Source organism: Homo sapiens, chromosome 12 (genome assembly GCF_000001405.40).
Source record: "Homo sapiens chromosome 12, GRCh38.p14 Primary Assembly".
Classification (NCBI taxonomy): Eukaryota; Metazoa; Chordata; class Mammalia; order Primates; family Hominidae; genus Homo; species Homo sapiens.
The window spans coordinates 108,843,524-108,869,740 of NC_000012.12; the positions used below are offsets into that span (position 1 = coordinate 108,843,524).

Sequence of the window (26,217 nt, forward strand, 5' to 3'; positions counted from 1 at the left end):
GTTTGTTGTTGTTGTTTGTTTGTTGGTTTGAGACAGAGTCTCACTCTGTCGCCCAGGGTGGAATGCAGTGGTGTGATCTCAGCTCACTGTAACCTCCACCTCCCGGGTTCCAGTGATTCTCCTGCCTCAGCCTCCCAAGTAGCTGGGATTACAGGCACGCGCCACCATACTCGGCTAATTTTTGTATTTTTAGCAGAGACAGGGTTTCACCATGTTGCCCAGGATGGTCTCAAACTCCTGACCTCAAGTGATCCGCCCGCCTCGGCCTCCCAAAGTGCTAGGATTACAGGCGTGAGCCACTGAGCCCAGCCTCTTAATAATGTTTTTAAAAGGGGCTCTCCCATGTTCATTTTGCACTGGGCTTCACAAATTACGCAGCCAGTCCTGCATTACAGGAAATATTTCTGTACCTAAGTACATATACTACAAAGCAAGTACCAAACACCAAGGAAACACTAAGGAGAGAAAAACGCCTGTGAGAAGAAAAAGGAAGACACGAATCATTCCCAACAGAAGCTGTTACCATGAAGGAAGTACGGGCAGGGGCATTTGTTGAATGTCTACTATGGGAGAAGGGGTTCGCATCATGAGCACATTTAATTCTGACAACCACCCTACAAGCTGTGTACTATACTGGCCATTTGAAACTAAGGCCTGCCCGAGATCATATAATAGCCTAGGAGGTGACAAAGGACAGACACAGGAGCCAAACCCATGCCCATCCCTCCCTAAGTCCAAAATCATAGAAAAAAAAAAATAAGAATCAACATGGGCGGTTATTTTTAAGGCCAGCATGTTCAAGGTGGGGGCAAATCCAAGAGACACTAAGCCTCAGAGCATGAACAAGCATGTGGGTGCTGAGTGGAGGGGACCAGTGTTTACCAGGGTGATGTCAGACTCTGCAAGGCTCGCTCCCCGTGTTTCTGGTCTCTTCCCATGAGCACCAGGCACCCCTTACCATCCCCAAACTAGGCACATCTGTAACGCTGAATGGAAGCCTACTTGTTTACATGTGTTCTATGTTAGACTGGGGGCATCCCTAGAACACACACAGATTGACTGGTGGGCAGAATTCTGCTAGGTGCATGCACCCGAGTGAGCCTTTCTCTTTGAATGTGGGAGGGACCAGAGAACAAGATGGGAGAGCTGTTCCCTTAATTAGGCTGTGCTGCACATTAAAGGCGGTAAGACAGTCATTCCAGTGATAACAATCTGTCATAAGACCCTACAGAAGCAGACTCTCCTGTTGGCCTTGAAGAAGCAAGCACCACGAATTCTCCACAGCTGCAAGAAAATGAATTCAGGCCAGGCGTGGTGGCTCACGCCTGTAATCCCAGCACTTTGGGAGGCTGAGGCGGGTGGATCACCTGAAGTCAGGAGTTTGAGACCAGCCTGACCAATACGGTGAAACCCCATCTCTACTAAAAATACAAAAATTTGCAGGGTACACCTACAGTCCCAGCTACTCGGGAGGCTGAGACAGGACAAAAATTTGCAGGGTACACCTACAGTCCCAGCTACTCGGGAGGCTGAGACAGGACAAAAATTTGCAGGGTACACCTACAGTCCCAGCTACTCGGGAGGCTGAGACAGGAGAATTACTTGAACCCAGGAGGCAGAGGCTGCAGTGAGCCGAGATCGCACCACTGCACTCCAGCCTGGGCAACAGAGCAGAAAAAAAAAAAAAAAAGTAAAAAAAAAAAGAAAATGAATTCAGCCAAGAACCACGTGAGCTTAAAAGAGGACCCTGGGGTTCAGACAAGACCTCAGCCCCGGCCAGCAAGCCTTGTGAGTTCCCGAACAGAGAACCCAGCTATACCGTGTCCAGATTCCTGACCCATGGAAGCTGTGAGATAATAAACATGGCCTGGGTGCGGTGGCTGGCCAGGCATGATGGCTCATGCCTGTAATCCCAGCACTTTGGGAGGCCAAGGCGGGCAGATCACCTGAGTTCAGGTGCTCGAGACCAACCTGCCCGACATGATGAAACCCTGTCTCTACTAAAAATACAAAATTGGCCAGGTGTGGTGGTATGCGCCTGTAATCCCAGATACTTGGGAGGCTGAGGCAGGAGAATCGCTTGAACCCGGGAGGCGGAGGTTGCAGCGAGCTGAGATTGCGCCATTGCACTCTAGCCTGAGCAACGTGAGCGAAACTCCATTTCAAATTTAAACAAAATAAACATATATTGTTTAACTGTTAAGTTAGTGGTAACTTGTCATGCAGCAGGCAATGACTGATACAGTAACCTATGCACACATCCATCTCCAGTACGGACACAGAACTTGGATGCACGGGGTGCATGACACCTCTTGGCAGGACTTAACTGGACAGACAAGCAACAAAGACAATAAAGCCCAGGCTAAGATGGACTGCCAAGGGCAGGGAGGAACCCCAGAGTGTGGACAGGTGCAAAAGTAGGGGTGTTCAATGAAGAGGGGAAGCATGGTCTGCAGGGCAATGACATGCCAACCCCCATCCACTCTGACACTGTAGGGGAGGGGGTGAAGGCAAAACCACACTTCAAAAGGCTGTAGGGAGAATGGGGTCCCTGGGGGACTTCCAAGTGGAGACCAAAAGGGGAAGGGAGTGCGGAGAGAAAGGCAGAGGAGTCAGGGAGTTCACAGTTTACCACTGAAACCAAATAAAACAGAAGAGACAAAATCCTGCAGCTCGCTCTGGCCCAAACCTTTGCTAGGGCAGGCAATCACAAATGAGCAAATTATAATAATTCTAATGACCACGTTCCCGCAATTGACTTGGAAATGCTGGATTAAAAAAAAAAAACTTCACTCCTGATCCACACCCTGGGGACAATATTATCTCCCCAGTGTCCTACCTAGCCCACAACTACTTATGTCTCATGCCAGACTGAGCCAGCTCCCGGGATGGCAAGGGAGCCAGGAGCTGCTGCCAGCAGGGCCATCTGCTCACCAATTCCCACAGTCTGAACGGCACAGCTTCCAAAGAGGGACTACGAGCGGCCAGCAGCAGCCTGCACATGCAGAAGGCAGGGGAGAGCGAGGGAAATGGATCTATACTGCTCTGCTGCAATCATCTGCATGCTGGGTGTGAGATGATCAGTTCTTGAGACACTTCCCAGAAGGCCTTCAGAAATACTGTCTGAGTTACAACACTGCTTCCTCCAAGTCTGTATTCTTATTTGCATCTTATAGGAATGTAGCCGGGTAAAGGAGGAAGGCTGCTTCAAGTCAAAGGGCATCCATGGTGGGCGCCCTCTCAGGCCTGGACCCAGCACCTGCAGGAGTCGGCCCCTTTAATTCTCCTCTGCCGTGAACTAACACTGCACATCAGCAATACTTTGTGAAGACCGAGCACAGCAACCAAGCCCACTGTGGACCTGATTCTAGGCAAGGAACTTTTTTTTTTTTTGAGACAGGGTCTTGCTGTCACCCAGGATGGAGTGCAGCGGCACAATCTCAGCTCACTGCAGTCTCGACCTCCTGGGTTCAAGTGATTCTCCTACCTCAACCTCTTGAGTAGCTGGGACTACAGGCGTGCGCCACCATGCCCAGCTAATTTTTCTATTTTTTTTGCGGAGATGGGGTCTTGCCATGTTGTGTAGGCTGGTCTCAAACTACGGGGCTCAAGCAATCCACTCACCTTGGCTTCCCAAAGTATTGGGATTACAGGCGTGAGCCACTGGGCCTGGCCTAGACAAGGAACATCACACAACTACTCCACAACCCTGAAAGGTCACAGTGTCATCCCTGTTTTATAGGTGGAACAATTGAGACCCACAGAGCTGTAAGAACACACAAAGGTAAAGGAACTCAGCCACCAGCACAGGAGCCAGATGCCAAACTTAGGTCTGCCTGACTCAGAACCCCACTGCCTTCCCTCTACACCTGGCTGTTTCTCCTACATGTCTGGAATTTACTGCAGGGTCAAAGGTTCATCCATTTAAACTGTTCACTTTTATCAACTTACTTATTTTGAGACAGAGTCTCGCTCTGTTGCCCAGGCTGGAGTGCAGTGACGCAAACTCGGCTCACTGCAACCTCCCGGGTTCAAACAATTCTCCTGCCTCAGCCTCCCGAGTAGCTGGGATTACAGGAGCGCACCACCAGGCCGGCTGATTTTTGTATTTTTAGTAGAAAGGGGGTTTCACCATGTTGGCCAGGCTGGTCTCGAACTCCGGAGCTCCAGTGATCCGTCCCGCCTTGGCCTTCCAAAGTGCTGGGATTAGAGATGTGAGCCACCGTGCCCAGCCATTTAAACTGTTTAAATGCTACACAAAGGCAGAGAAATGAGGCCGTCACTAAGGGATTTGAGAGCAGTTAGGGATACAACAAGGGCACACAGACCTGCATTGTAAGGCGGGTGTGGCACCTGTCACAGATAGGGATGCCAGGGGCTCCCTGCTTTCTCTGAAGAGAGGGAAATCACAAATATCTGGGGCAGGCGCACTTTTAGCTGGTCATGAGGACTACAGCCAGGTGAAAAGGAACTGGCCTAGGGAACGTGTGTGACGGGGGAGCAGGGAGTAGTCCCAATGGACTGGAAAAGGCACATGCGAGAGGGGAGGGTGGAAAGGCCACCAACGCCGGTGACGCTGGAGCTCAGAAAAGACTCCGAGGACCAGAAGGAAGAAGCATCAAGGGACCAGGGGGTGATATGCCAAGGTAGAGAGGATGGGTCTGAGGTGTTCCTCTGTGACGGGACAGAAGAGATGTGAGGACCTGAAGAGGCGCCACCAGGGAACTTGAGAAAAAGAAGGCAGGTGGCTCGGAAGACCCGATCCATGTGACCCTGCAATTTATTGGATATGGATGAATCAGAGCTGACTTTTTCGATGACCCAAAAGATGAAACTATTAATTAAGGCTAGACGGAGGGGAGAAAAGAGAGAGAAATACCCTGCTACCTCCAGTTTTTCTCCCTACAGCACCTCCTAGAGATGAGGTGATGGCAGCTCACCTTCAGGATCCATTGGAAACAAAGAGAAATCTCTCCCTAATTCTCCTGACCCCAAACAGAAAGCAACCAACTATTCCATAATTTTCTTCTCTAGGAGAGATTCAGAGAGAAGAGGCCTGAAAATGCAAATTAACACACGGATGTGAATGAGTTTCAGTCAAAGCTTAAACCAGGACACAACTTTTCTTGTGTAGCGAGGAAGGCTAGGAGGCAGGATGGTGTCCTGTGCCTAAAAAGGTGAGTGTGACGTCAAGGTGGCTGAAGAGGGGTTTAAAAGGGCACCTAGGGGGACAAGCCCAGAGCCCAGCATCCCACCCTAAATGAGAACACAGGTCTCCAACTCCAGCCCAGGGTCTCCCTGTGGTCACAATGGTGTTGGGGACCTGCTGACAGTGGCACGGAAGGACTCTCGGTGGTGGTCAGAATGACCCAACATCCCAGGAGGCACCTGCCACCAGTTGGCATGAGTCCTTGGTGCTGGCCCTGGCGCTGCTGCTAATCCACCCCAGTGGACTTAGGCATGCTCCCTCACCTGTATGTCCAAGACAGCTAATTCAACAGTACTACTAACCTGGTCCCCAGAAAGGCGGCAGAGTAGGATCAACTTGGCATTAGAGGTCTCGCTTCAAATACAGGATTTCCCAATTCCAATCTTGGGCCTCAGCCACCAACCGGGAAAACCCCCCTCCAAGGGCTGTTTTGAGAATATGGAAAGCTGCCAAAGCTTTATTTCCCATCCCTTTGTAAGGTCCCCTGCAGCTCCCAACTAGAAGAGAAAGGGACCTTTTATTAGCAAGAAAAGGGCCAGGTGCAGTGACTGTCATCACGCCTGTAATCCCAGCACTTTGGGAGGCTGAGGTGGGAGGATCACTTAAGCCCAAGAGTTTGAGACCAGCCTCAACAACACAGTGTGATCTCATCTCTTCAAAACACATTTAAAAAAATTAGCCAGGTGTGGTGGCGCACGCCTGTAGTCCCAGCTACTTGGGAGGCTGAGGTGGGAAGATAGCTTGGCCCCAGGAGTTCAAGGCTGCAGTGAGCTATGATCACACCATTGCACTCCGGCCTGGACAACAAAGACCCTGTCTCTAAAAAATAAAAATAAAAAGTTTTAATTTTAAAAAAGGTTAAATACTAATGAGAAAGGTCCACATACAAATTTTCATGTCACTGCTATTTATAAGTTCTTATTAACTGAAAACACTATGCTATAAGCTATTAAAGGTAACTAAAAAATAAAAATAGCTCTTTGCCCCAAAGACAGTCTAAGTGACAGAGCTCAGTACTCACTCATCAACAACAGCCCTGAGAGAGACAAGAGATGGAAGAGATTCCAACCCCAAGAAAGGGCTGGAGGGGAGCCAGGGGAGGAGGCATGGGGGAGGGGACCTCCAAGAGGGAGCTAGGGGAGGGCAGATGGGGAGGAGAGCCCAGAAGGGAGCTGGGGGAGGGGAACATGGGGGAGGGGAGCATGGGGGAGGGGAGCTCCAAGGGGGAGCATGGGGGAGGGGAGATGGGGAGGGGAGCTCTAGGAGGGAGCTGGGGGAGGGGAGATGGGGAGGGGAGCTCCAGGAAGGAGCTGGGGGAGGGGAGCATTGGGGAGGGGAGATGGGGGAGGGGAGCTCCAAGAGTGAGCTGGGGGAGGGGAGATGGGGAGGGGAGCTCCAGGAGGGAGCTGGGGGAGGGGAGATGGGGAGGGGAGCTCCAGGAGGGAGCTGGGGGAGGGAAGATGGGGAGGGGAGCTCCAGGAGGGAGCTGGGGGAGGGCAGATGGGGAGGGGAGCTCCAGGAGGGAGCTGGGGGAGGGGAGATGGGGAGGGGAGCTCCAGGAGGGAGCTGGGGGAAAAGGGCTTGGGGAGGGTAGCTCAATGACGGGACGTGGGGATGGGGAGCTAAGGAGGAGATCTGGGAGAGGGGAGCTTGGGGAGGGGAGATGGGGGAGGGGAGATGGGGGAGGAAAGCTGGGGAAGGGGATCTGGGAGAGGGAAGCTTGGGGAGAGGATCTAGGGAGGGGAGCTGGGGGTGGGGAGATGGGGAGGAGAAATGGGAGAGGAGCTTGGGGAGGGGGATCTAGGGAGGAAATCTGGGGCAAGGGAGCTGAGGGAGGGGAACTTGGGGAGGGGATTTAGGGAGGGGAGCTGGGGGAAGGGGAGCTCAGAGAGGGGACTTCAGGGAGGGGAGATGGGAGAGGGGATTGGGGAGGGATGGTTAGGGATGGGATCTAGGGAGGGGATTTGGGGGAGGGAAGCTTGGGGAGGGGATCTGGGGGAGGGGAGTGGGGAAGAGAGATGGGGAGTCGGGGGAGGGGAACCTGGAGGGAGGGATCTGGGGAAGGGGATTTTGGGGAGGAGAACAGGTGGAGAGAGGAGCTGGTGGGGAGGGCAGTTGGGGGCAGGCATCTGGGGGAGATTTGGGGGGAAGGGAGCTGGGCGCCCACAGGAGCCGCTGTGAGGTGGGCAAGCCCCTCTTTCAGTTCCTCCTCGACAGTCAGTCTCCAGACTTCCACTCCACCCCTCCCTGCTTCCACCCAGACAGTCTGATCTGCAACTCGGCCCATGACTGCCCCCATTGGGAATCCAGCTGCTTCTAGCCTGGGAACCCTGACGTGGGCCCTGACCTGACCAATCAAAAACCCCAGGGTGATGGAGCAAATGTGTCCTGTATCTTGAGCATAACATTAAAAGTGAGGACCCAGCAGAAGTCCCCCAGCGAGGACCCAGAAATAAGGAATCTCTTTGATTCTTGCAGGCTAGTGTTTCCCTACCCACATAATCTTTAGAAATCATGTGTGCCGTAATAAAAGTGAGTATTTCCCCTCCCTTCACTCAAGCACACAGAAACATCGGAGAAAAGCTGAGCATATTTCTACCAGTTCTGCATATGAGTTTGACCAGAACACCCTGCTGTCGGTAATGAATGGTTGACCCCAATTTCTGAACACATATTTCCTTTTCCAATTAATTTTCCTTCCCCTCATGAGATAAAACAGACTATTTTTTTTTAAAGAACAATATTCCTGAAAATTTATTTACTTTTTTTAAAACTATGAGGTCAGAGTTTAAGACTGGCTCCTTGGTATGAAGGAATACATGATATTAATATAACAAAGGGCTGAATCTTCCATAAATCAACAAAACACCCAAACAAAGGCAGAACTTAATTTTTGGCAAAGAAAAAACAAAAATGTTTTTGGTGTCCATTAGTGAATACATCAGCTGAGGACTGCCATCTTGGAATCTTTTAAATGAGCAGAGCTAAAGATTTCTCATAAGCACAATTAAAGCACCCTGAATTGATACCTTTAGGGGGTTGAGTATCTGTTTCAAATCAGCAAAGTGCTTACCGCAAAAGGAACACCTTACCAAAAGCAAGATGAAAAAGTGAGGGCAGAGTGTCATGATTATTACTTTTTTTTTTAAGCAGAAGAATAGTCTGCAAGAAAATACATAAAAATGCTCAAGTTAGGCCGGGCACAGTAGCTCATGACTGTAATCCCAGTACTTCAGGAGGCCAAGCAGGAAGATGTCTTGAGGCCAGGAGTCCAAGACCAGCCTGGGCAACACAGCAAGACCTTGTCTCTATTAGAAAATAATAAGTTACCAAAAAATGCTCAAAATGGTAATGTAAGGGTGGTAGAATAATGGCAATTATTTTCCTTCTTTTCCAAGCGTTATATAATATTATTAAAGTGGCTAGACATATGTATGGATTTTAAAGCACTTCAGTTTTATGTGTTTTAGGTATAATTTCTAAAGCACTAAAAAATTGGCATATTCTTTTTTTTTTTTTTTTAAGACGGAGTTTTGCTCTGTCGCCAGGCTGGAGTGCAGTGGCGCAATCTTGGCTCACTCTGCCTCCCGGGTTCAAGCGATTCCCCCGCCTCAGCCCCCCAAGTAGCTGGGACTACAAGCACACACTACCACGCCCGGTTAATTTTTTCTGTTTTTTTAGTAGAGACAGGGTTTCACCATGTTGGCCAGGATGGTCTCGATCTCCTGACCTTGTGATCCACCCGCCTCAGCCTCCCAAAGTGCTGGAATTACAGGCGTGACCCACCGCACCCAGCCCAAAATTGGCATATTCTTTTTGAACGTTTTCCCTTTGGGAGAGGAACAAGAGCATTCCTTACCTGCTTGGGAGAAAGACTTAGGAACAAGAATTGAAAGTCTGCTTACCTGAGGTTTAATTTTCGATCTTCTTCGCTGCCAGCCTCCAACTACAGAGAAAGAAAGAGAATATCACACCACAGGCACCACTGTCAACACGCCTCGGGCGGCAGTCTCACATTTTCTACCCCGGTACTGGAAAAAGATAAAGATATCCAGGAAACCTAGCTACTTCTAAACAGCCGTGCCCTTTCCTCACCAATCCCGGTCTGTCCCTTGGAGTCATTTCCGTGGGGGAATTTTCAGGTTTCCAAATGTTGACCCACATTCCTGCCGCAGTCCAGGGGATGGAGTCCTGTTAGCTCAACATTTCCTATCTGGTGTTGTTACCCAGCACGGTCTTTTAGCCCTCAGCCCTCAACTTTCCGAGGTTGTTCTGGACCTTATCCTGTTTTTCTCTTTTAAGGGGAGGGGGTCATGTTTAAAGAGAATCCACTTCCTCCGCAGAGCCAGGCAATAACAGCTGAGTGATGAACACCATTTTCAAAAAACCAACCCAGGCAAGACTTGCACAGTGGAAGGTGGCCAGGAATCAGGCCGTCTGTTTGTGGGTCTTGAAAGCTCTTGATGGTTCTCGAAAAGACTTAAACATTTGATACGAAACATCCTAGGCTATCGGTTTATTTATATAAATGCAAGAAAGAGATATTTAATATTTTCTGAAATCTAAAAGGCCACGAGTTTGGGCTCCAGAAGTACCTATGACTTATTTTTATTTTTTTTCTTTCAGAGAGCAAACTGAAAATAAGAAGGAAACACATACACACCCCCCAAACAACTCCGCACCGCTGGGACTTGGCATGTTTTTTATGTTGCACAGAGGCGCCCATTGAATGGGAAAGAGAAACCTGGAAAGCTGTGATGGCTGGGAGAGATGCAGGGCTGATCGAGGACAGAAATGAGGCAGGAGCCAAGGGCGAAGGAAAAAGGGTCCAGAGATAATGTAGGGAGGGGCCTGGGCAGCAAGGGACACCCACCAGGAGGTGGCAACTTCAACCAAGAATGAGTACACCAGCCCGGCGCAGTGGCTCACACCTGGAATCCCAGCACTGCAGGAGGCCGAGGTGGGCGGATCACCTGAGGTCAGGAGTTCGAGACCAGCCTAGCCAACAAGGTGACACGCTGTCTCTACTAAAAATACAAAAATTAGCCAGGCACGGTGACATGTACCTGTAATCCCAGCTACCTGGGAGGCTGAGGCAGGAGAATCACTTGAACCCAGGAGGCGGAGGTTGCAGTGAGCCGAGATTGCACCACTGCACTCCAGCCTGGTGAAAGAGCAATACTTCGTTTCAAAAAAAAAAAAAAAGCGTACACCAGAGGGCCTGGGAGTCCCTACATCATATTAAGATGAAGTACATACAAGATTCTGCAGAGGCACCTACCCCACACTGAAGGAGAAGTGGAAAGAGCAGGGAAGGCTTCAATGACCACAAAACAAGTCACAAGAGCAACAAATTGACAAAGAGTATGTTGGGGTCTAACCCAGTGGTTCTCAATGCGGAGCAAGTTCTCTCAACAGGAGACATTGGAAGATGTCTGGAGGCATTTTTCTGGAGGTCACTACTGGCACCTAGTGGGTAGAGGACAGGATCCCACAACACACAGGATGGTCCCCCCACAAGAGAGAATGTTCTGGTCCCAAGTATCAACAGTGGGTTGAGAAACTCTGGTCCAATCCAAAAAAGTGCCTGGAGATCTGCCCATGAAAATTAGTCACTTTGAATGTTTCTCAGAAATAACAATGTTATGATCCATTCCTGAAAATTATTGATTTATCTATTCTTGTGCTCTGCCTGTTCACACAAAGGAACTGAGATAAGATTCACAGGAAAATGACATAAGTGACATAATCAAAGACTGGGAAAAAAAGAAAATTAAAAGAGAAAAGAGAGCCTTAGGACTGAGGGCTGTGATCCCCCGTTTCCCACGCCGGCAGCAGGCCTGGCTGTGTCAGGAAAGCACTGCCCTAAGTGTCTGACTCATTATGAAGTTGCAATTTGAAGAGTGATGACGTGACTTGGGGGTACGGACTTCACAATCATTTAACTCTCGGTCACTCTCTGAGGTTCTCAGATGAAAGGCCATCTCAGGTCAGTTATTCCAGGGAAACTACATCTGCCAAGGAACACATGAAAGAGGTAATTCAGTCCTTTTAGATGAGCCAGGGCCCACACACAGGAAGCAACTCAAGCGAGGGCGGACCAGGGCAGAACCGGCCTGGCCTAGGTCTCCTGACCCCATACACACTTGCTGTCTCCATCCCACCTTGCTTCTCACCTCAACACATCTGAACGAGGGCCTTGCCTTCGGGAAACATCCCAGCGCATTCAAAGCCAAGCAATGAATGCTGCAGCTTTGCTATGATCAAATAAAAGCTGCCTGAGTTTTACTTTATGTTTATCAGGGTCATTGGCACTTGGTAAAAATAATGCTTTATATAATAATTGAAAATGTATCTAGTAGACACAACACAAATGTCCAACAAAATGTGGTACATCCATACAATGGAGTATTATACAGCCATGAAAAGGAATGAAGTACTGCCACATGCTACAATATGCATGAACTTTGAAAACGTGATGCTGAGTCAAAGAAGCCAGACACAAAAGGCCACACAGGGTGTGATTCCATTTATATAAAATGTCCAGAATAAGCAAATCCATAGATACAGAAAGTAGATTAGTGGTTGCCTAAGGTTAGGGAGAATGGGGCAGGGGGAGGCTGCAGGTGAGGGCTAACGGGTACAGGGTTCCTATTTTGGGGAGGATGAAAATGTTCTGGAATTAGATGGTGGTGGTTGCACAATCTCATGTATATACTAAAAACCACTGAATTGTACACTTTAAAATGGCAAATTTATGGTATGTAACTAAAAAATAATAAGACCTTAAAATGCGTAAGACAAGAACAGATTAGGTTGCAAGTAACTCTAGGAACATGGGGTTTTGAATCAGAAATCTGGGCTGACAGGTTCAGCCTGAAGCCAACCTCTCCCCTTACCTCACATAAACTTTTGTGATGAGAACCTGAGATTAAGTGCATAAATTGCCAGACAGCAGTGACCGGAACAGAAAACAGCCCCTCCTCGCTGTGGGAAGGAAAGGCGCTCCTGCAACCTAACTTCTCAGTAGCAGGCTATTGATCGCCAGTGTTCTTTTGCCTCTAATCAGCGTGTAGAGGGGGATTACTAGAACCTTCTGTGTATAGATAACTCATGAATGGCCTCTCCTCTCCAAGGAGGGGGCTGTGAAGGTTCAACTTCCCAGCCACTCTGAAAATGTCCCTGCCAATCCCAGCAAAACAAGGCTGAAGAACTACCCTACCAGGAGACAGGGCTGTCAAGCCAAATGCAAACATTATTCTCTTGTCTCTCTCAGACACACAAACCTCCCCCGTGTTATCAGTCAACTTCCCCCACTCCCTCCCACAAAGAAAGGGGCTGAAGAGCCCAGATGCTGGCTGCGGAACTTCCTGGGCCTGGGACCGCAGGGCCGCTCCTCCAGTCTTCTCTAAACACAGCTAAGGGTCTGCAGGCGGACACTCAGCCTTGTTATAGGTAAGAGTTTAGACCAGAGGCCTTGACGGGTTCTTCAAGAGATGGTGGGCAAGATTGCGCGACCAGAGGGTCATCCCTGCAGCTACAGAGGGCTGACCTGCTCAGAGGCCCAAGGCCCCAGCCTAGGACAAGCCAGGCCAACCCTGCAGGCTAAGAGGGCAACAGTGCCCTCAATCAACCCCAGAGGAAAAAGTGGCCAGGCAAACGGACCTGGGCCACACACAGACCCACAAAAACGCGCACAGTGCCAGGACACGCAACCCAGGAATGCACCTATGCAATCACCCAGAATGGGTCACAGCCACACAGAAAGATAGATGCACATAAACACACAGGCCTGAGTGATGTTACAGAAAGGAAAAGCCAGACTAAGGCTGCACGCACAGACGTGAAACACAGCCACACAGAGCCCACAGCACGCTCGGTCACCGTCACACAGTGACACGGGCACGCCTACAGACAGAACTCCAGAGGCGGCAGGCGGGGAAACAATCTCACACGTTTGTAGGGGCACTCCCAGATGCCTGTCTCACGCTGGCACAGTCCCCGGACGGCAGGTCAGCAACAGTCACATCTCACATCGCACAGCCAGGCATACAGGCAAAGGGCCTAGAACTACCCCGGCCACAGGTCTCAGAACCAGCGGCTCACGCAGTCACCCAATCAAGGGTCCCAGTTGCACATCCAGTCACCCCTGGACCCTGGTCACACTGCAGAGTCACTCACAAATGGGAGTCCCGACAGACGCACAGTCCTCCCCAGACAGAGGTCAACCCAAGATGGGGGTCACACCTGAAATCACAGTCCCCACACAATCACGAGGTCACATCTGCACACACAGTCTCTGCACAGTCACCCTTAGGGGTCACAACGCACACAGTCTCCGCCTAACAGGGGTCACCCCAAGATGGGGGTAACCCCCTGATGTGGGTCACAGCGCACACACAGTATCCTGCAGACACTCCCAGAGGGGTCGCACTGCATACACAGTCCCTGCAAAGTCGCCCCCCGATAGGGGTCACACCGCACACAAAGTCCCCGCACAGCTCCCCAAGACAGGGTCACATCGCACACAGTCCTCGCACGGTCACCCCGGTCCGGCTGCCCGGCTCTGTTCCTACGGCGGGGCCCCGAGGAGCCCGCGCAGCCGCCCCCCTGCCCCGCACGCGCGGCCCCAGCTCCGGCGGCCTCGGCGCGGCGTCCGGCGGCCCAGGCCGGGCGCGGCGAGCCCGGGGCTCACCTCGCTGTTGCTGGCCGAGGAGGAGGCGGCGCTGGGCGTGGGCGAGCGCTGCAGGGTCACCAGGGCCATGGCTGCGGCGCGGTGCGAGGGCGCCACAGACGTCTCGAGCTAGAGCCGCCACCGCCACCGCCGCCCGGGCCGGGCCCGGGGCCTCCTGGAGCCGCGCGCGGGCGGCCGGGCCGAGCCGGGCCGGGCCCGCCCCTCCCCCTCGGCGTCGCCACCGCCCCCGCCCCCAGCTCCCGCCTCCCGCGCCGGCGCGCGCAGGCCTCAGTGCGCGGAGTGGGCGGGGAAGCGGGCAGGGCGGGACGAGGAGGCGCGCGTGCGCGGGGGCCCTGAGGGCTGCCCGAGGCCTCGGCTGGTCGATCACGTCCCTCGCGCGCCCGACACACGCGCCCCCGCCCGCGCGCCCCGCTATCAGGCCTGGGACTCGGGGGCGCGCGCGCCGCCCGGAGCCCGTACGCCCCAGGGGCCCTGCCCGCTGCTCTGCCTGGGGAAACTGAGGCCCGGCGACCGTGCAGACAGGACTGTACAGCGACCAGGAAATAAAAGACGTCCTGGGGCCGGGCGCGGTGGCTCACGCCTGTAATCCCAGCACTTTGGGAGGCTGAGGCGGGCGGATTACGAGGTCAAGAGATCGAGACCATCCTGGCCAACATGGTGAAACCCCGTCTCTACTAAAAAGACAAAAATTAGCTGGGCGCAGTGGTGCGCGCCTGTAGTCCCAGCTACTCGGGAGGCTGAGGCAAGAGAATCGCTTGAATCTGGGAGGCGGAGGTTGCAATGAGCTGAGATCGCGCCACTGCACTCCAGCCTGGGCGACAGAGCGAGACTCGGTCTCAAAAAAACAAAAAACAAAAAACAAAAACAGTAAGCAAAATAGATTCGCCTGATTTTGCAGAGGTTAATCAAGTTATTAGGCACGTTTTTAAAAAAGTATTTTGCTAATCTTTTTCAATGAATTCTTTCTGGGTGTTCTGAAACCCAGCCAACTCCTTGGAGGTCAGGGAAGGCTTCCCAGAAGAGCTTTATTCTGAGGCTTGGGCTTGAGCATAAGCAGGATTAACAGGTGAAAGAACAGAGAGACAGCTCTCCAAGCAGGGGGGATCAGCGTGCCCTGAAGCAGGAAGAAGTTTGTCAACCGGAGGCCAGCACTCAGGGAAGGGAAGAGGGGAGGAATGGCTGGAGTCTCCATCCTCTCTGGAAAGATCGCTCCGGCTGCTGCGTGGATGAGGGACCACGGGGCAGAGGGCTGAGGGAGACCAGGGAGGAGGCTGCTGCTGTTGTCCCGGGGAGAGGTGACCAGTTATGGGGATGGAGAGGGGAACATGGAATAAGATACCAAGAAGGCAATTCTGGCTTGACTTAGTAGTAGGAAACTTTTCTTTTAGCCAAAATCTCATCTCCCGGCTCCCACCCCCAACCTCTGCATGTTGCACAAGCACTCGCAAACGCAGTGGTCCCAGCCTGCCCCGCAGCTTAGCAAATTTGTCTTACTGCCCAACAGGAAACCCACGCAGCCTCCTGGATTCTTCCCCGTCCCTCCCTCTGTCCTGGGGCTGTGACCTCCTCCATGTTATTCACAGGGTCTCAGCACGATTCATCTCAAAGGTGATTCTAGTGGGGGGCACTGTAGCTTCTACGGAGCGTTTCTAAGAGGGGATTTGTGGGAATGTTTGTGGTTGTCTTGCTGATGGAGGGGGAGAGCTCCTGGCATTTAGAGTGCAAGAGCCTTGGATGCTAAATGTCTTCCAATGCACTGGACAGTCTCCCCAACAAGAATTGCTCCATTCCCACAAAATGTTTCCTGGGTGAAAAACCCATTTATAGTAATTTGAAGCCAGAACCTAACTCCATTTCATGCATCAACACTAGTCTTCCTTCCTTCCTTCCTTCCTTCCTTCCTTCCTTCCTGCCTTCCTTCCTTCCTTCCTCTCTTTCTCTCACTTTTTTTCTGAAACAGGGTCTCACTCCCGTCACCCAGGCTGAAGTGCAATGTCACAATCATAGCTCACTGCAGCCTCCATCTCCCAGGCTCAAATCATCCTCCTGCTTCAGTCTCCTGAGTACAACGGGTACACACCACCACACCCAGCTCCTTTAAAAAAAAAGTTTAACTATGTTGCCCAGGCAATCCTCCTGCTTCCGCCTTCCAAAGTGCTGGGATTACAGACAGAAGCCACCATGGCTAGCCTGGTATTTTTTACTGAATTTTCAGAAAGGTGACTATGTTGAAACCCTGTCTCTCCTAAAAATACAAAAAATTAGCCAGGCATGGTGGCGGGCACCTATAATCTCAGCTACTCAGGAGGCTGAGGCAGGAGAATCACTTGAACCCGGGAGGCAGAGGTTGCAGCAATCTGAGATCGTGCCACTGCACTCCAGCCTGTGTGACACAGCAAGACAGAGAGAAAGAGAGAAGGGAAGGGAGGGGAGGGGAGGGGAGAGGAGGGGAGAGGAGGGGAGAGGAGGGGAGGGGAGAGGAGGGGAGGGGAGAGGAGGGGAGGGGAGGGGAGGGGAGAGGAGGGGAGAGGAGGGGAGGGGAGAGGAGGGGAGGGGAGAGGAGGGGAGGGGAGGGGAGGGGAGGGGAGAGGAGGGGAGGGGAGGGAAAGGAAGGGAAAATACACTTTGTTTTGCTTGAGAGTTTTGTCAAGAGTTGTTCATCCATCCTTAGGGAAAAGGAGGTAATGGATGGCAACGCCTCTGCTAATATTAGAGCATCCCACACAAGGTGCCCACAACTGTAGCTGCACTCTAGGTAGACAGACAGTCATAGGTACTTAAATGTCAAATATAAGGGAAAATTGTGGACAAAATTCAGTTGAGTAGAGAATATTTTATTTCTCAAATCCAAGCACATTGATTATTGGCAGGCCCATGCTTCTGAGATGCCCCTGTGTCCTCTAAGGGAGTAGTGGCTGAGCATTTCCACATTGTAATGCATGTTGTTTCATTATGATTTATTTTTCTTTTATGTCTCTCTTACATTAGTTTTCAAATTTGAGAGTTTGAGAATCCCCTGGAGAAAATACAGATTGCTAGACCCCACCTCCCAGAGTTTCGAATTCACAAGGTTTGCTGTAGGGCTGGAAAATTTGCACGTCTAACAAATTCACAGGCAATGCTGATGCTTCTGTCTGGGGACGACAGTCTGAGAACTACTGCCTATACAAATGCAATGGCCTCTTCACCAAGAAATTCCTACCTAGATCTGATCCTGGTACCCGTCCGTGGCCCCCAATCCTAATCCCCCTGCTCTGGCCGGCCTGCTTTTCCACTCACCCCAACTTTTTTGGAGGCAGTCTCCACCCCTTCTCACTTCCTCTTAGAGCTGAGAGCCCTTTTCTTCCCCACAACTAACTCTTGCTAGAAATCACCTCCAAAAAGCTTTCCCTGCCCCTTAAGCAGTGTCATTTCCAGGATCTCGTAGCCCTCACCCTACCCTTAAACACACAGCAAGTGTCAGTCTGCCTTATCATAATGGGTCCATCTCTCTGTCTTGTCCCATTACCGTAGAGCCAGGAACGGTCCCTAAGAAAAGCCTCAGGAATCAGGCTGGGACCAGCGTGAGGGTGCAAAATGTAAGAGGGTGCCCCCAAAAACTCAATGATTAAGATAAATAGTATTTTAATGCAATATTTTAGAAAATCAAAATTAATGCCAAATCCATGATGAATAAAATATTTTTAAAATTTGCTTTTTTTTTTTTTTTTTAATTGAGACAGAGTCTTGCTCTGTTGCCCAGGCTGGAGTGCAGTGTGGCACAATCTCTGCCTCTTGGGTTCAAGCAGTTCTCCTGCCTCAGCCTCCCGAGTAGCTGGGATTACAGACCCCCACCACCATGACCGGCTAATTTTTGTATTTTTAGTAGAGATGGGGTTTCACCATGTTGGCCAGGCTGGTCTCAAATTCCTGAAATCAGTGATCTGCCTGCCTCGGCCTCCCAAAATGCTGGGATTACAGGTGTGAGCCACTGCACCTGGTCAAAATATTTACAAAAATTTTTTAAGAGCCAAGGTCTCATTCTGTCACCCAGGACTGGGTGTAGTGGTGCAATCCTAGCTCACTTCAGCCTTGAACTCTGGGCTCAAGCCATCCTCCTGCCTCTGCCTCCGGAGTACCTGAGACTACAGGTGTACACCACCACGCCTGGCTGACTTTATTTTTGCCAGAAACTGGGTGTTGCTATGTTGCCCAGGCTGGTTTCAAACTCCTGGAGGCACTCAATCCCCCGACCTTGGCCTCCCAAAGCTTTGGGATTACCGGCATGAGCCACCACACCTGGCCAAAGTATCAAATTTTTAAGTAAAATTGGCATCAGTATTGTGTCACTGATTCTTCCACTTACTTCAGACTTCAGTGTAGCTCAGCAAAGCACTTTTATTGATCCTGTCTTTATTTGATTCTTTTACAACTTTGGCCATTCTAAAGCCTTTTGTGAAAATGGCCTGTGGTTCAGCTGGGCATGGTGGCGTGCACCTGTAATCCCAGCTACTCGGGAGGCTGTGGCAGGAGAATCGCCTGAAACCAGGAGGTGGAGGCTGCAGTGGGCTGAGATCGTGCCACTTTTGACACTCTGTCTCAAAAAAAAAAAAAAAAAAAAAAAAGGAAGCCTGTCGGCTTGACTCCAGTAGCCTCTGATGGGGTGGAGTGGACAAGGGGAAGTGAAAGCTCCCAGGCCTCAGTCAGGGCAGGTCCCAAGAAGCCCTGAGCATGGAGGAGGGGAACAATCCAGTAGAGGCAGCTCTGAAGTTTTCTCCCATGCATTAGAGCCCTTTCCAATCAGTATCATGATTTTTCATCATATAATAGTTTATTTAATCATCTTTGACCTCCTCCTTGTAGTCCCAGCTCACTTTTGTAACTAATAAAAAACAGTGAGTTATTGAGCTATTTGCTCTCTGCTAAGGCACAATGCAAAGTGCTTTGTGAGTGTGTGGGGGACATGATTTATTAACATGTGACTGTCCCCCCACTTATACTCCAAGATCACCTCCTCCAGGAAGCCTTCCTTGCCCCGTGGCTGGGTTAGGCACCCCTTCTCTGTGCTCCTACAGCCCCTGTGCATTAGTGACAATGGCATTGTGGATCTGCCCTAGGCCCATTTCTGGGTTGGGACACTTTAGGTACATTCATTCTTGTCACCCTGTGATTCTCATTTCATGGGTGAGGAAATTGATGCACAGAGTGGTTAAGGCACTGGCCCCAAGTTATGTAACTAAGGAGTGGTGAACCTGGTTCACCCATGTTTTTCTGCTTTAGAACTCAGGCAAAGACAGGTTCTTCCAGGACAGCCTCAGAAAGTGTTGGTGCAAATTAGGTTGGTGCAAAAGTAATTGCGGTTTTTGTCATTTTTTTTTTTTTTAATGGTGCAAAAGTAATTGCGGTTTTGTCATTAATGACCAACTATTATAAGTAATAGTTCCCTTTTTTTTTTTTTTTGAGATGGAATCTTGCTCTGTTGCCCAGGCTGGAGTGCAGTGGCTTGATCTTGGCTCTCTGCAAACTCCGCTTCCTGGGTTCAAGTGATTCTCCTGCCTCAGCCTCCCAAGTAGCTGGGATTACAGGTGCCCACCCCCATGCCCAGCTAATTTTTGTATTTTTAGTAGAAACGGGGTTTCACCATGTTGGCCAGGCTGGTCCCGAACTCCTGACCTCAAGTGATCCACCCACCTCGGCCTCCCAAAGTGCTGGGATTACAGGTGTGAGCCACTGCACCTGGCCAGTAGTTTGCCTGTTAAAGCAAATAACTTGTAATTTCTCCTTAATTATTCATTCCAAAATGATATTCAGAGGTAATAAAGCTCTGATAGGCTGAATAATGGCCTGCAAAGATGTCCATATTCCAAATCCCTAGAATCCCTGCCTATGTTACCTTGCATGCTAAGAGGGTTTTACAGATGTGATTAAACTCAGGATGTTTAGATGGGGAAATTTTCCTGGAGGAGGCCCAAGAGGTCCTAATGTAATCACAAGGGTCCTTATAAGAGGGAGGTGAGAAGGTCAGAGTCAGTAGTAAGAGATGTGACAACGGAACTGAGGGATTAGAGTGAAGGAAGAGGCCACAATCCAAGGAATGCAGGCAGTTGCTAAAAGTGGAAAAACACCAAAAAATGAATTCTCCTTTCAGAGCCTCCAGAAAGAATGGAGCCCTGCTGATATCTTTTTCTTTTCTTTTTTGAGTTAGGGTCTTGCTCACAGAGCTGTCACCCAGGCTGGAGTGCAGTGGCATCATCATAGCTCACAGCAGCCTCGACCTCCAGGGCTCAAGGGATTCTCCCACCTCAGCCTCCTGAGTAGCTGCGACTACAGACACACACCACTATGCCCGGTTGACTTTTTTTAATTATTATTATACTTTAAGTTCTGGGGTACATGTGCAGAATGTGCAGGCTTGTTACATAGGTATACACGTGCCATGGTGGTTTGCTGCACCCATCAACCCGTCATCTGCATTAGATATTTCTCCTAATGTTATCCCTCCCCTGGCCCACCACCCCCTGACTGGCCCCGGTGTGTGATGTTCCCCATGCCCGGTTGATTTTTAAGGGTTTTGTTTGTTTGTTTGTTTTTTTAGAGACGAGGGTCTCAGCTGGGTGCAGTGGCTCATGCCTGTAATTCCAGCACTTTGGGAGGTAAGGCGGGCAGATTGCTTCAGCCCAGGAGTTCAAGACCAGCCTGGGCAACATGGCGAAACCAAAAAATGCAAAAAATTAACTGGGCATGGTGGCACATGCCTGAGGCTGAGGTGGGAGTATCGTCTGAGCCTGGGAGATCAAGGCTGCAGTGAGCCATGATCATGCCACTGTGCTCCAGCCTGGTTGATGGGGTGAGACCCTGTGTCTAAAAAATAAAAGAAATGAAGGTCTTGCTGTGTTTCCTAGGCTGTTCTTGAACTCCTAGGCTCAAGCAATCCTCCTGCCTCAGCCACCCCAGTTGCTTGGATTACAGGCACAAGCCACCATGTCCAATCCTGGCAACGTCTTGATTTTAGACTTCTGATCTCTACAATTGCAAGAGAATAAATTTATGTTGTTTTAAGCCACGAAATCTCTGGGAATTTGTTACAGCAGCCATACGAAATGAATATAAAACTCAACCTCCATTTGGGCTTTAAAAAACATATCATTATAATGCCATTACCCAGTATATTCCAGGTGCTTCCCAAGCGTTGTGTCATTTTCTCATTCACTCAATTCATCCAATAAACTATGTTTGTTGCTCTCCTGGGCACTAGTCTAGGAATCTGGGTTCCATCAGTGAACAAAATGGAATCACTGCCCTTGAAGAGCATTCAATCAAGTGGGAAATATAGTAAAAATATATATATATGCAAATATGTTTAAAATCATATGTGGTAAATATATTGCATTTAAATGAATTAATAGGCCGGGCACGGTGGCTCATGCCTGTAATCCCAGCACTTTGGGAGGCCGAGGCCAGTGGATCACTTGAGGCCAGGAGTTCGAGACCAGCCTGGCCAACATGGCGAAACCCCGTCTCTACTAAAAGTACAAAAATTAGCCAGTTGTGGTGGTGGGTGCCTGTAATCCCAGGTACTCGGGAGGCTGAGGCACAAAAATCGCTTGAACTGAGGGGGTGCGGAGGTTGCAGTGAGCCGAGATCATGCCACTGCACTCCAGCCTGGGTGACAGAGTGAGACTGTCTCAAAATAATAATAATAATAATTAATTAAATGAATTAATATTGGTAAGGGTCTTAGAACAAGATAGGCACTGATATGTGTCAAATAAATGAAATATGATGTCCAATCATGAAAAAGCTTGGGAGAAAAACAAAGCAGGCTAAGGGCAGAGTAATGGAGGAGGCCACTTAGACAAATGGTCAGGGAAGCTTCTGGGTGAGGTGATATTTGAGCAGAGGAATCACCATGACAGCACCACCAGGGAGGTGTAGAAACCCTGGGATCTGCCTGGTTCATTCAAACTGGCCTCCCCACTAAGGAACTGTGAGGTACTTTTTCTGAGACCCATTTTCTTTCTGTCTGTGTCACCCAGGCTGGAGCGCAGTGGCGCGATCTCGGCTCACTGCAACCTCCTCCCCCCAGGCTCAAGTGATCCTCCCACCTCAGCCTCCTGAGTAGCTAGGATTACAGGTGTGTGCCACCATACCCAGCTAATTTTTGTATTTTTAGTAGAGTCGGCGTTTCACCATGTTGGCCAGGCCAGGCTGCCACCTTGGCTTCCTACAGTGCTGGGATTACAGGTGTGAGCCTTCAGACCCAGCCGAGACCCACTGTCTTTCTCTGTAAAATTGATATGAAAGTGATAGTGCTCGGCCGGGCATAGTGGCTCACGCCTGTAATCCCAGCACTTTGGGAGGCCAAGGTGGGCAGATAACCTGAGGTCAGGAGTTCAAGACCAGCCTGTCCAAGACGGTGAAACCCTGTCTCTACTGAAAATACAAAAATTAGCCAGGTGTGGTGGTGGGTGCCTATAATCTCAGCTACTCAGGAGGCTGAGGCAGGAGAATCGCTTGAACCCAGGAAGCAGAGGTTACAGTGAGTCGAGGTCCCGCCACTTCACTCCAGCCTGGACAACAAAGCAAGACTCCATCTCAAAAAAAAAAAAAAAAAGAAAAGAAAAGAAAAGAAAGTGGTAGTGCTGACCTCAGAGCTTGGTTGTGTCAATTGAACAGCATACTATGCAGGAAAGGCAGAGCGTGCTGTCCTATTTACTAATAGTACCTAAGGTATTGGGTTGAATTGTGTCCCCACAAAATTCACTAGTCCCTGTGAATGGGACCTTATTTGGAAATGAGGTCTTTGCAGCTGATCAAGTTAAGATGAGGTCATTAGGGCGGGGCCCTATTCGCATATGACTGTGTCCGTATGAAAAGGGGGAAATTTGCTGGGCGCGGTAGCTCATGCCTATAATCCCAGCACTTTGGGAGACCAAGGCGGGTGGATCACCTGAGGTCAGGAGTTCGAGACCAGCCTGACAAACATGGAGAAACCCTGTCTCTATTACAAATACAAAATTAGCCAGGCGTGGTGGTGCATGTCTGTAATCCCAGCTACTTCGGAGGCTGAGGCAGGAGAATCACTTGAACCCGGGGGGTGGAGGTTGCAGTGAACTGAGATTGCGCCATTGCACTCCAGCCTGGGCAACAAGAGCGAAACTGCATCTCAAAAAATAAACAAACAAACAAATAAATAAATAAATAATAAAAGGGGAAATTTGGACCCAGAGCCAAGGGGAAAATGCTTCCTGAAGGTTGTAGTTGTGCTGCCACAAGCCAAAGAGCACCCGAGATGGTCAGCAAACCACCAGAGCTAGGAGTGAGAAGTGAGGAGCAGATTTGCGTGGCCTTCTGAAGAAACCAGCAACTCGATTTCAGAGTTCCAGGCTCCAGAACTGTGAGAGTAAATGCCTGTGGTTTAAGCCTCCCAGTTTGTGGCACTTTGTTACAGCAGCCACAGGAAAGGAACGCATCTAACATGATCATTTCATCAGCTGCAGAAAATGAGGCTCAGAGCAAGGCTAGGGTTTGAACCCAGGCCAACTAGACCCCAGACCACATACATGGGTTGTTGGCCTTTCTAGCCTGGGAGGTGACAGTTTGGATGTTCCACTATTTGCAGGGAACGGTGTTCAGAGGACTCAAAGCTTCTGCCACCTGGGCCAGGGTGTCCAGTGTTAGATATGGAAGTCAGGTATCTGGGGCTTCTGACAAAGCATCTCTCTGGGTGGGTCAATAGGCACCAGCAGCCAGGCAGTTGAGGGATCTCTGCCCCTGTGCGGAGTTGGCTGAAGCCTCCCTTCCTCTACCCATCCCTTCATTTAACCTGCTTGCCAGATCAAGGTGTTCCCTGGCCTCTGCCAGGGGTGTATTCACCTGAATTTGCCTTTTATTCACTATGATCACAAGCAACACACTGACCCTTGCTGGGCCTCAGAATCTCAACTCTTGGTGGGGTGCGGTGGCCCATGCTGGTAATCCCAGCACTGGGAGGCCAAGGTGGGTGAATCACTTGAGGCCACGAGTTAGAGACCAGCCTGGCCAACATGGCAAAAACCTGTCTCTACTAAAAATACAAAAATTAGCCAGGCATGGTGGCATGCACCTGTAGTCCCAGCTACTCAGGAGGCTGATGCACAAGAATCACTTGAATCCAGGAGATGGAGGTTGCAATGAGCCAAGATCACACCACTGCACTCCAGCCTGGGTGACGGAGTGAGACTCTGTCTCAAAAAACAAACAAAAGAATCTCAACTCTTAATATGGAATGATTAATGTCCTATAAGAAAGCATTGGTTAGATCAATTGGGTATATGCATGTGATATCCCTCCTAGATAGCTCTCAGTGGTCCTCATCTCCTGATATTCATGCCCTGTGGAGTCTCTTCACACAATACATAGAACTGACCTGTGTAACCACTAGGATATCACAGATACTACAGCATGTGGCTTCTGAGGCTAGGGGTCATAAAAGACACTGAAGCTGCTGTCTTGCTGTCTCTTGGATTTCTCATTCTGGGGGAATCCAGCTACCATGTCATGGGGACATTTAGGACATTTAAGCAGCCAAAGAGAGAGGGCCGCATGGCAAGAAACTGAGGTCTCCTGCCAATGACCAGCACTAACCTATTGTCATGTGAATGCACCACCTTGAAAATGGATCCTCCAGCCCCAGTCAGGCCTTTATTTATTTATTTACTTATTAATTGAGACCGGGTCTCATTCTGTCTCCCAGGCTGGAGTACAGTGGCACCATCTTGGCTCGCTGTAACCTCTGCCTCCTGGGTTCAAGCGATTCTCATTCTTCAGCCTCCCGAGTAGCTGGGATTACAGGCGTGCGCTACCATGCCCAGCTAGTTTTTTTGTATTTTTAGTAGAGACAGGGTTTCGCCATGTTGCCCAGGCTGGTCTCAAACTCCTGGCCTCCAGTGATCTGCCTATCTCGGACCCCCAAAGTGCTGAGATTACAGGCAAGAGCCATTGTGCCAGGCCCCCCATTCAAGCCTTCAGATGAGATCACAGCCATGGCCAACATCTGGAGTGCAACCTCATGAGACACTCTGAGCCAGAGCTGCCCAGCTGAGCTGCTTCCAGATTCCAGGCCCAAAGAAAATGTATGAGATAATAAATGTTTATTGTTTTAAGCTGCTAAATTTTAAGGTAACTTGTTATGCAGCAATAGATAACTTTTATATGCTGCCATAAAAATATTATAAAACCATGCACTAGTACAGAAAGATTTTTATAAAATATTAAGTGGAAGAAAAGAAAAGCAGGCCACCAAACAGCGTAGGACAGTAGACCCCATTTTTGAAAGAAAAATGTGAAGAGTTAAAAAACTCTACCAAAAGGGGAAAAAAAAGAGGGCATCAATGGAGAGATGGAGAAGCTTTGTTTTTGGATGGGAAGACTCAGTATGGTAGAGTTAACAACCTCTCGAAATTAAATTAAATGGAAATGCTATTGAAATCCCAACTTGATTCTTTTGAGTGTAGGGATCTTTACAACAGATAACTGGACAAGCTAACATTTATTGGGTATATATGTGCGTTGCATCACGTGACAGTCACTGTTTCATCTTAATTCCACCATAGGAGAAAGTCCCTCTTTATTTAATTTTTCTGAGAGTAAAGTACTGCTATTACCTGTTCCCCTTCCCATTTTACTTAGGAGGTTTCAAGAGGGGACTTGTCTGAGATCCTGGAAACCGTGGAGGTGAGATGACATCAAGCATGTTTGATATTTACATGTGTGCCCTTGGGCCTCCTGCCACATGGCCTCCCCACTGTGCCCTGGTTTCCCTAAGTACCAGCCCAAGGACACATGGATAGGAAAGGTGGAGCTGGGGCACCAGCCCAGTCTGCCTGACTCCAGAGTCCCTGGTCTTAATCACTAAACCACCCCAGAAAAGTAACCGTGGGAGAAGAGACCTGCAAACTAGGAAAAAGAAGATTAAAGGGAAGGAATCTGTTCTGCTAGATATTAAAACATATGACAAAGCTGTAGAAATTAAAACAGAATGGGGCCGGGTGCAGCAGCTTATGCCTGTAATCCCAGCACTTTGGGAGGCCAAGGTGAGTGGATCACCTGAGGTCAGGAGTTCTAGATCAGTGTGACCAATATGGTAAAACCCTGTCTCTACTAAAAGTATAAAAATTAGCTGGGCATAGTGGTGTGCACCTGTAGTCCCAGCTACTCTGCAGGCTGAGCCAGGAGAATTACTTGAACCTGGGAGGCAGAGGTTGCAGTGAGCCAAGCTCACACTACTACACTCCAGCCTGGGCTACAGAGCGAGACTCCAGTTCAAAAAAAAAAAAAAAGAAAGAAAAAAAAA

General features: G+C 49.8%; 1 protein-coding gene across 7 annotated transcripts in view, besides 7 other annotated features; it reads right to left on the reverse strand.

Annotated features, from left to right (window-relative positions):
• Nucleotides 1–14,060, reverse strand: part of SSH1 (slingshot protein phosphatase 1) — a 79,393-nt gene extending 65,333 nt beyond the window's left edge. For 5 of the 7 annotated variants that reach the window (XM_005268985.3, XM_047429023.1, NM_018984.4 and 2 more), the window contains exons 1-2: nt 13,905–14,060; nt 9,115–9,155 (exon numbers count right to left, since the gene is read on the reverse strand). Coding sequence is in view for 4 of the 7 variants with exons in the window: in XM_047429023.1 (XP_047284979.1) it covers nt 9,115–9,155; nt 13,905–13,973 (110 nt within the window). In the remaining 3 variants the exon portion in view is untranslated. Of the gene's footprint in view, nt 1–9,114; nt 9,156–9,304; nt 13,772–13,904 lie in introns of those variants that run through there. The other 2 variants (XM_005268984.5, XM_047429022.1) reach the window with 2 other exon arrangements.
• Nucleotides 7,267–7,316: a silencer, noted in NCBI's record as "silent region_4834". NCBI's record gives its function as "represses an Ori minimal core promoter by ATAC-STARR-seq in GM12878 lymphoblastoid cells {active_cell/tissue: GM12878}" and the evidence as "EXISTENCE:reporter gene assay evidence [ECO:0000049][PMID:35858748]".
• Nucleotides 7,357–7,406: a silencer, noted in NCBI's record as "silent region_4835". NCBI's record gives its function as "represses an Ori minimal core promoter by ATAC-STARR-seq in GM12878 lymphoblastoid cells {active_cell/tissue: GM12878}" and the evidence as "EXISTENCE:reporter gene assay evidence [ECO:0000049][PMID:35858748]".
• Nucleotides 7,417–7,486: a silencer, noted in NCBI's record as "silent region_4836". NCBI's record gives its function as "represses an Ori minimal core promoter by ATAC-STARR-seq in GM12878 lymphoblastoid cells {active_cell/tissue: GM12878}" and the evidence as "EXISTENCE:reporter gene assay evidence [ECO:0000049][PMID:35858748]".
• Nucleotides 10,442–11,641: an enhancer, noted in NCBI's record as "P300/CBP strongly-dependent group 1 enhancer chr12:109247741-109248940 (GRCh37/hg19 assembly coordinates)". NCBI's record gives its function as "activates an origin of replication core promoter dependent on BRD2, BRD4, P300/CBP, MED14 and CDK7 cofactors, with strong dependence on P300/CBP, by STARR-seq in HCT116 cells {active_cell/tissue: HCT116}" and the evidence as "EXISTENCE:reporter gene assay evidence [ECO:0000049][PMID:35650434]".
• Nucleotides 12,756–13,257: an enhancer, noted in NCBI's record as "H3K27ac-H3K4me1 hESC enhancer chr12:109250055-109250556 (GRCh37/hg19 assembly coordinates)". NCBI's record gives its function as "activates a minimal SCP1, AML or CMV promoter by ChIP-STARR-seq in naive H9 embryonic stem cells {active_cell/tissue: H9 hESC(naive)}" and the evidence as "EXISTENCE:reporter gene assay evidence [ECO:0000049][PMID:30033119]".
• Nucleotides 13,310–13,359: an enhancer, noted in NCBI's record as "active region_6982". NCBI's record gives its function as "activates an Ori minimal core promoter by ATAC-STARR-seq in GM12878 lymphoblastoid cells {active_cell/tissue: GM12878}" and the evidence as "EXISTENCE:reporter gene assay evidence [ECO:0000049][PMID:35858748]".
• Nucleotides 13,790–14,529: a silencer, noted in NCBI's record as "silent region_4837". NCBI's record gives its function as "represses an Ori minimal core promoter by ATAC-STARR-seq in GM12878 lymphoblastoid cells {active_cell/tissue: GM12878}" and the evidence as "EXISTENCE:reporter gene assay evidence [ECO:0000049][PMID:35858748]".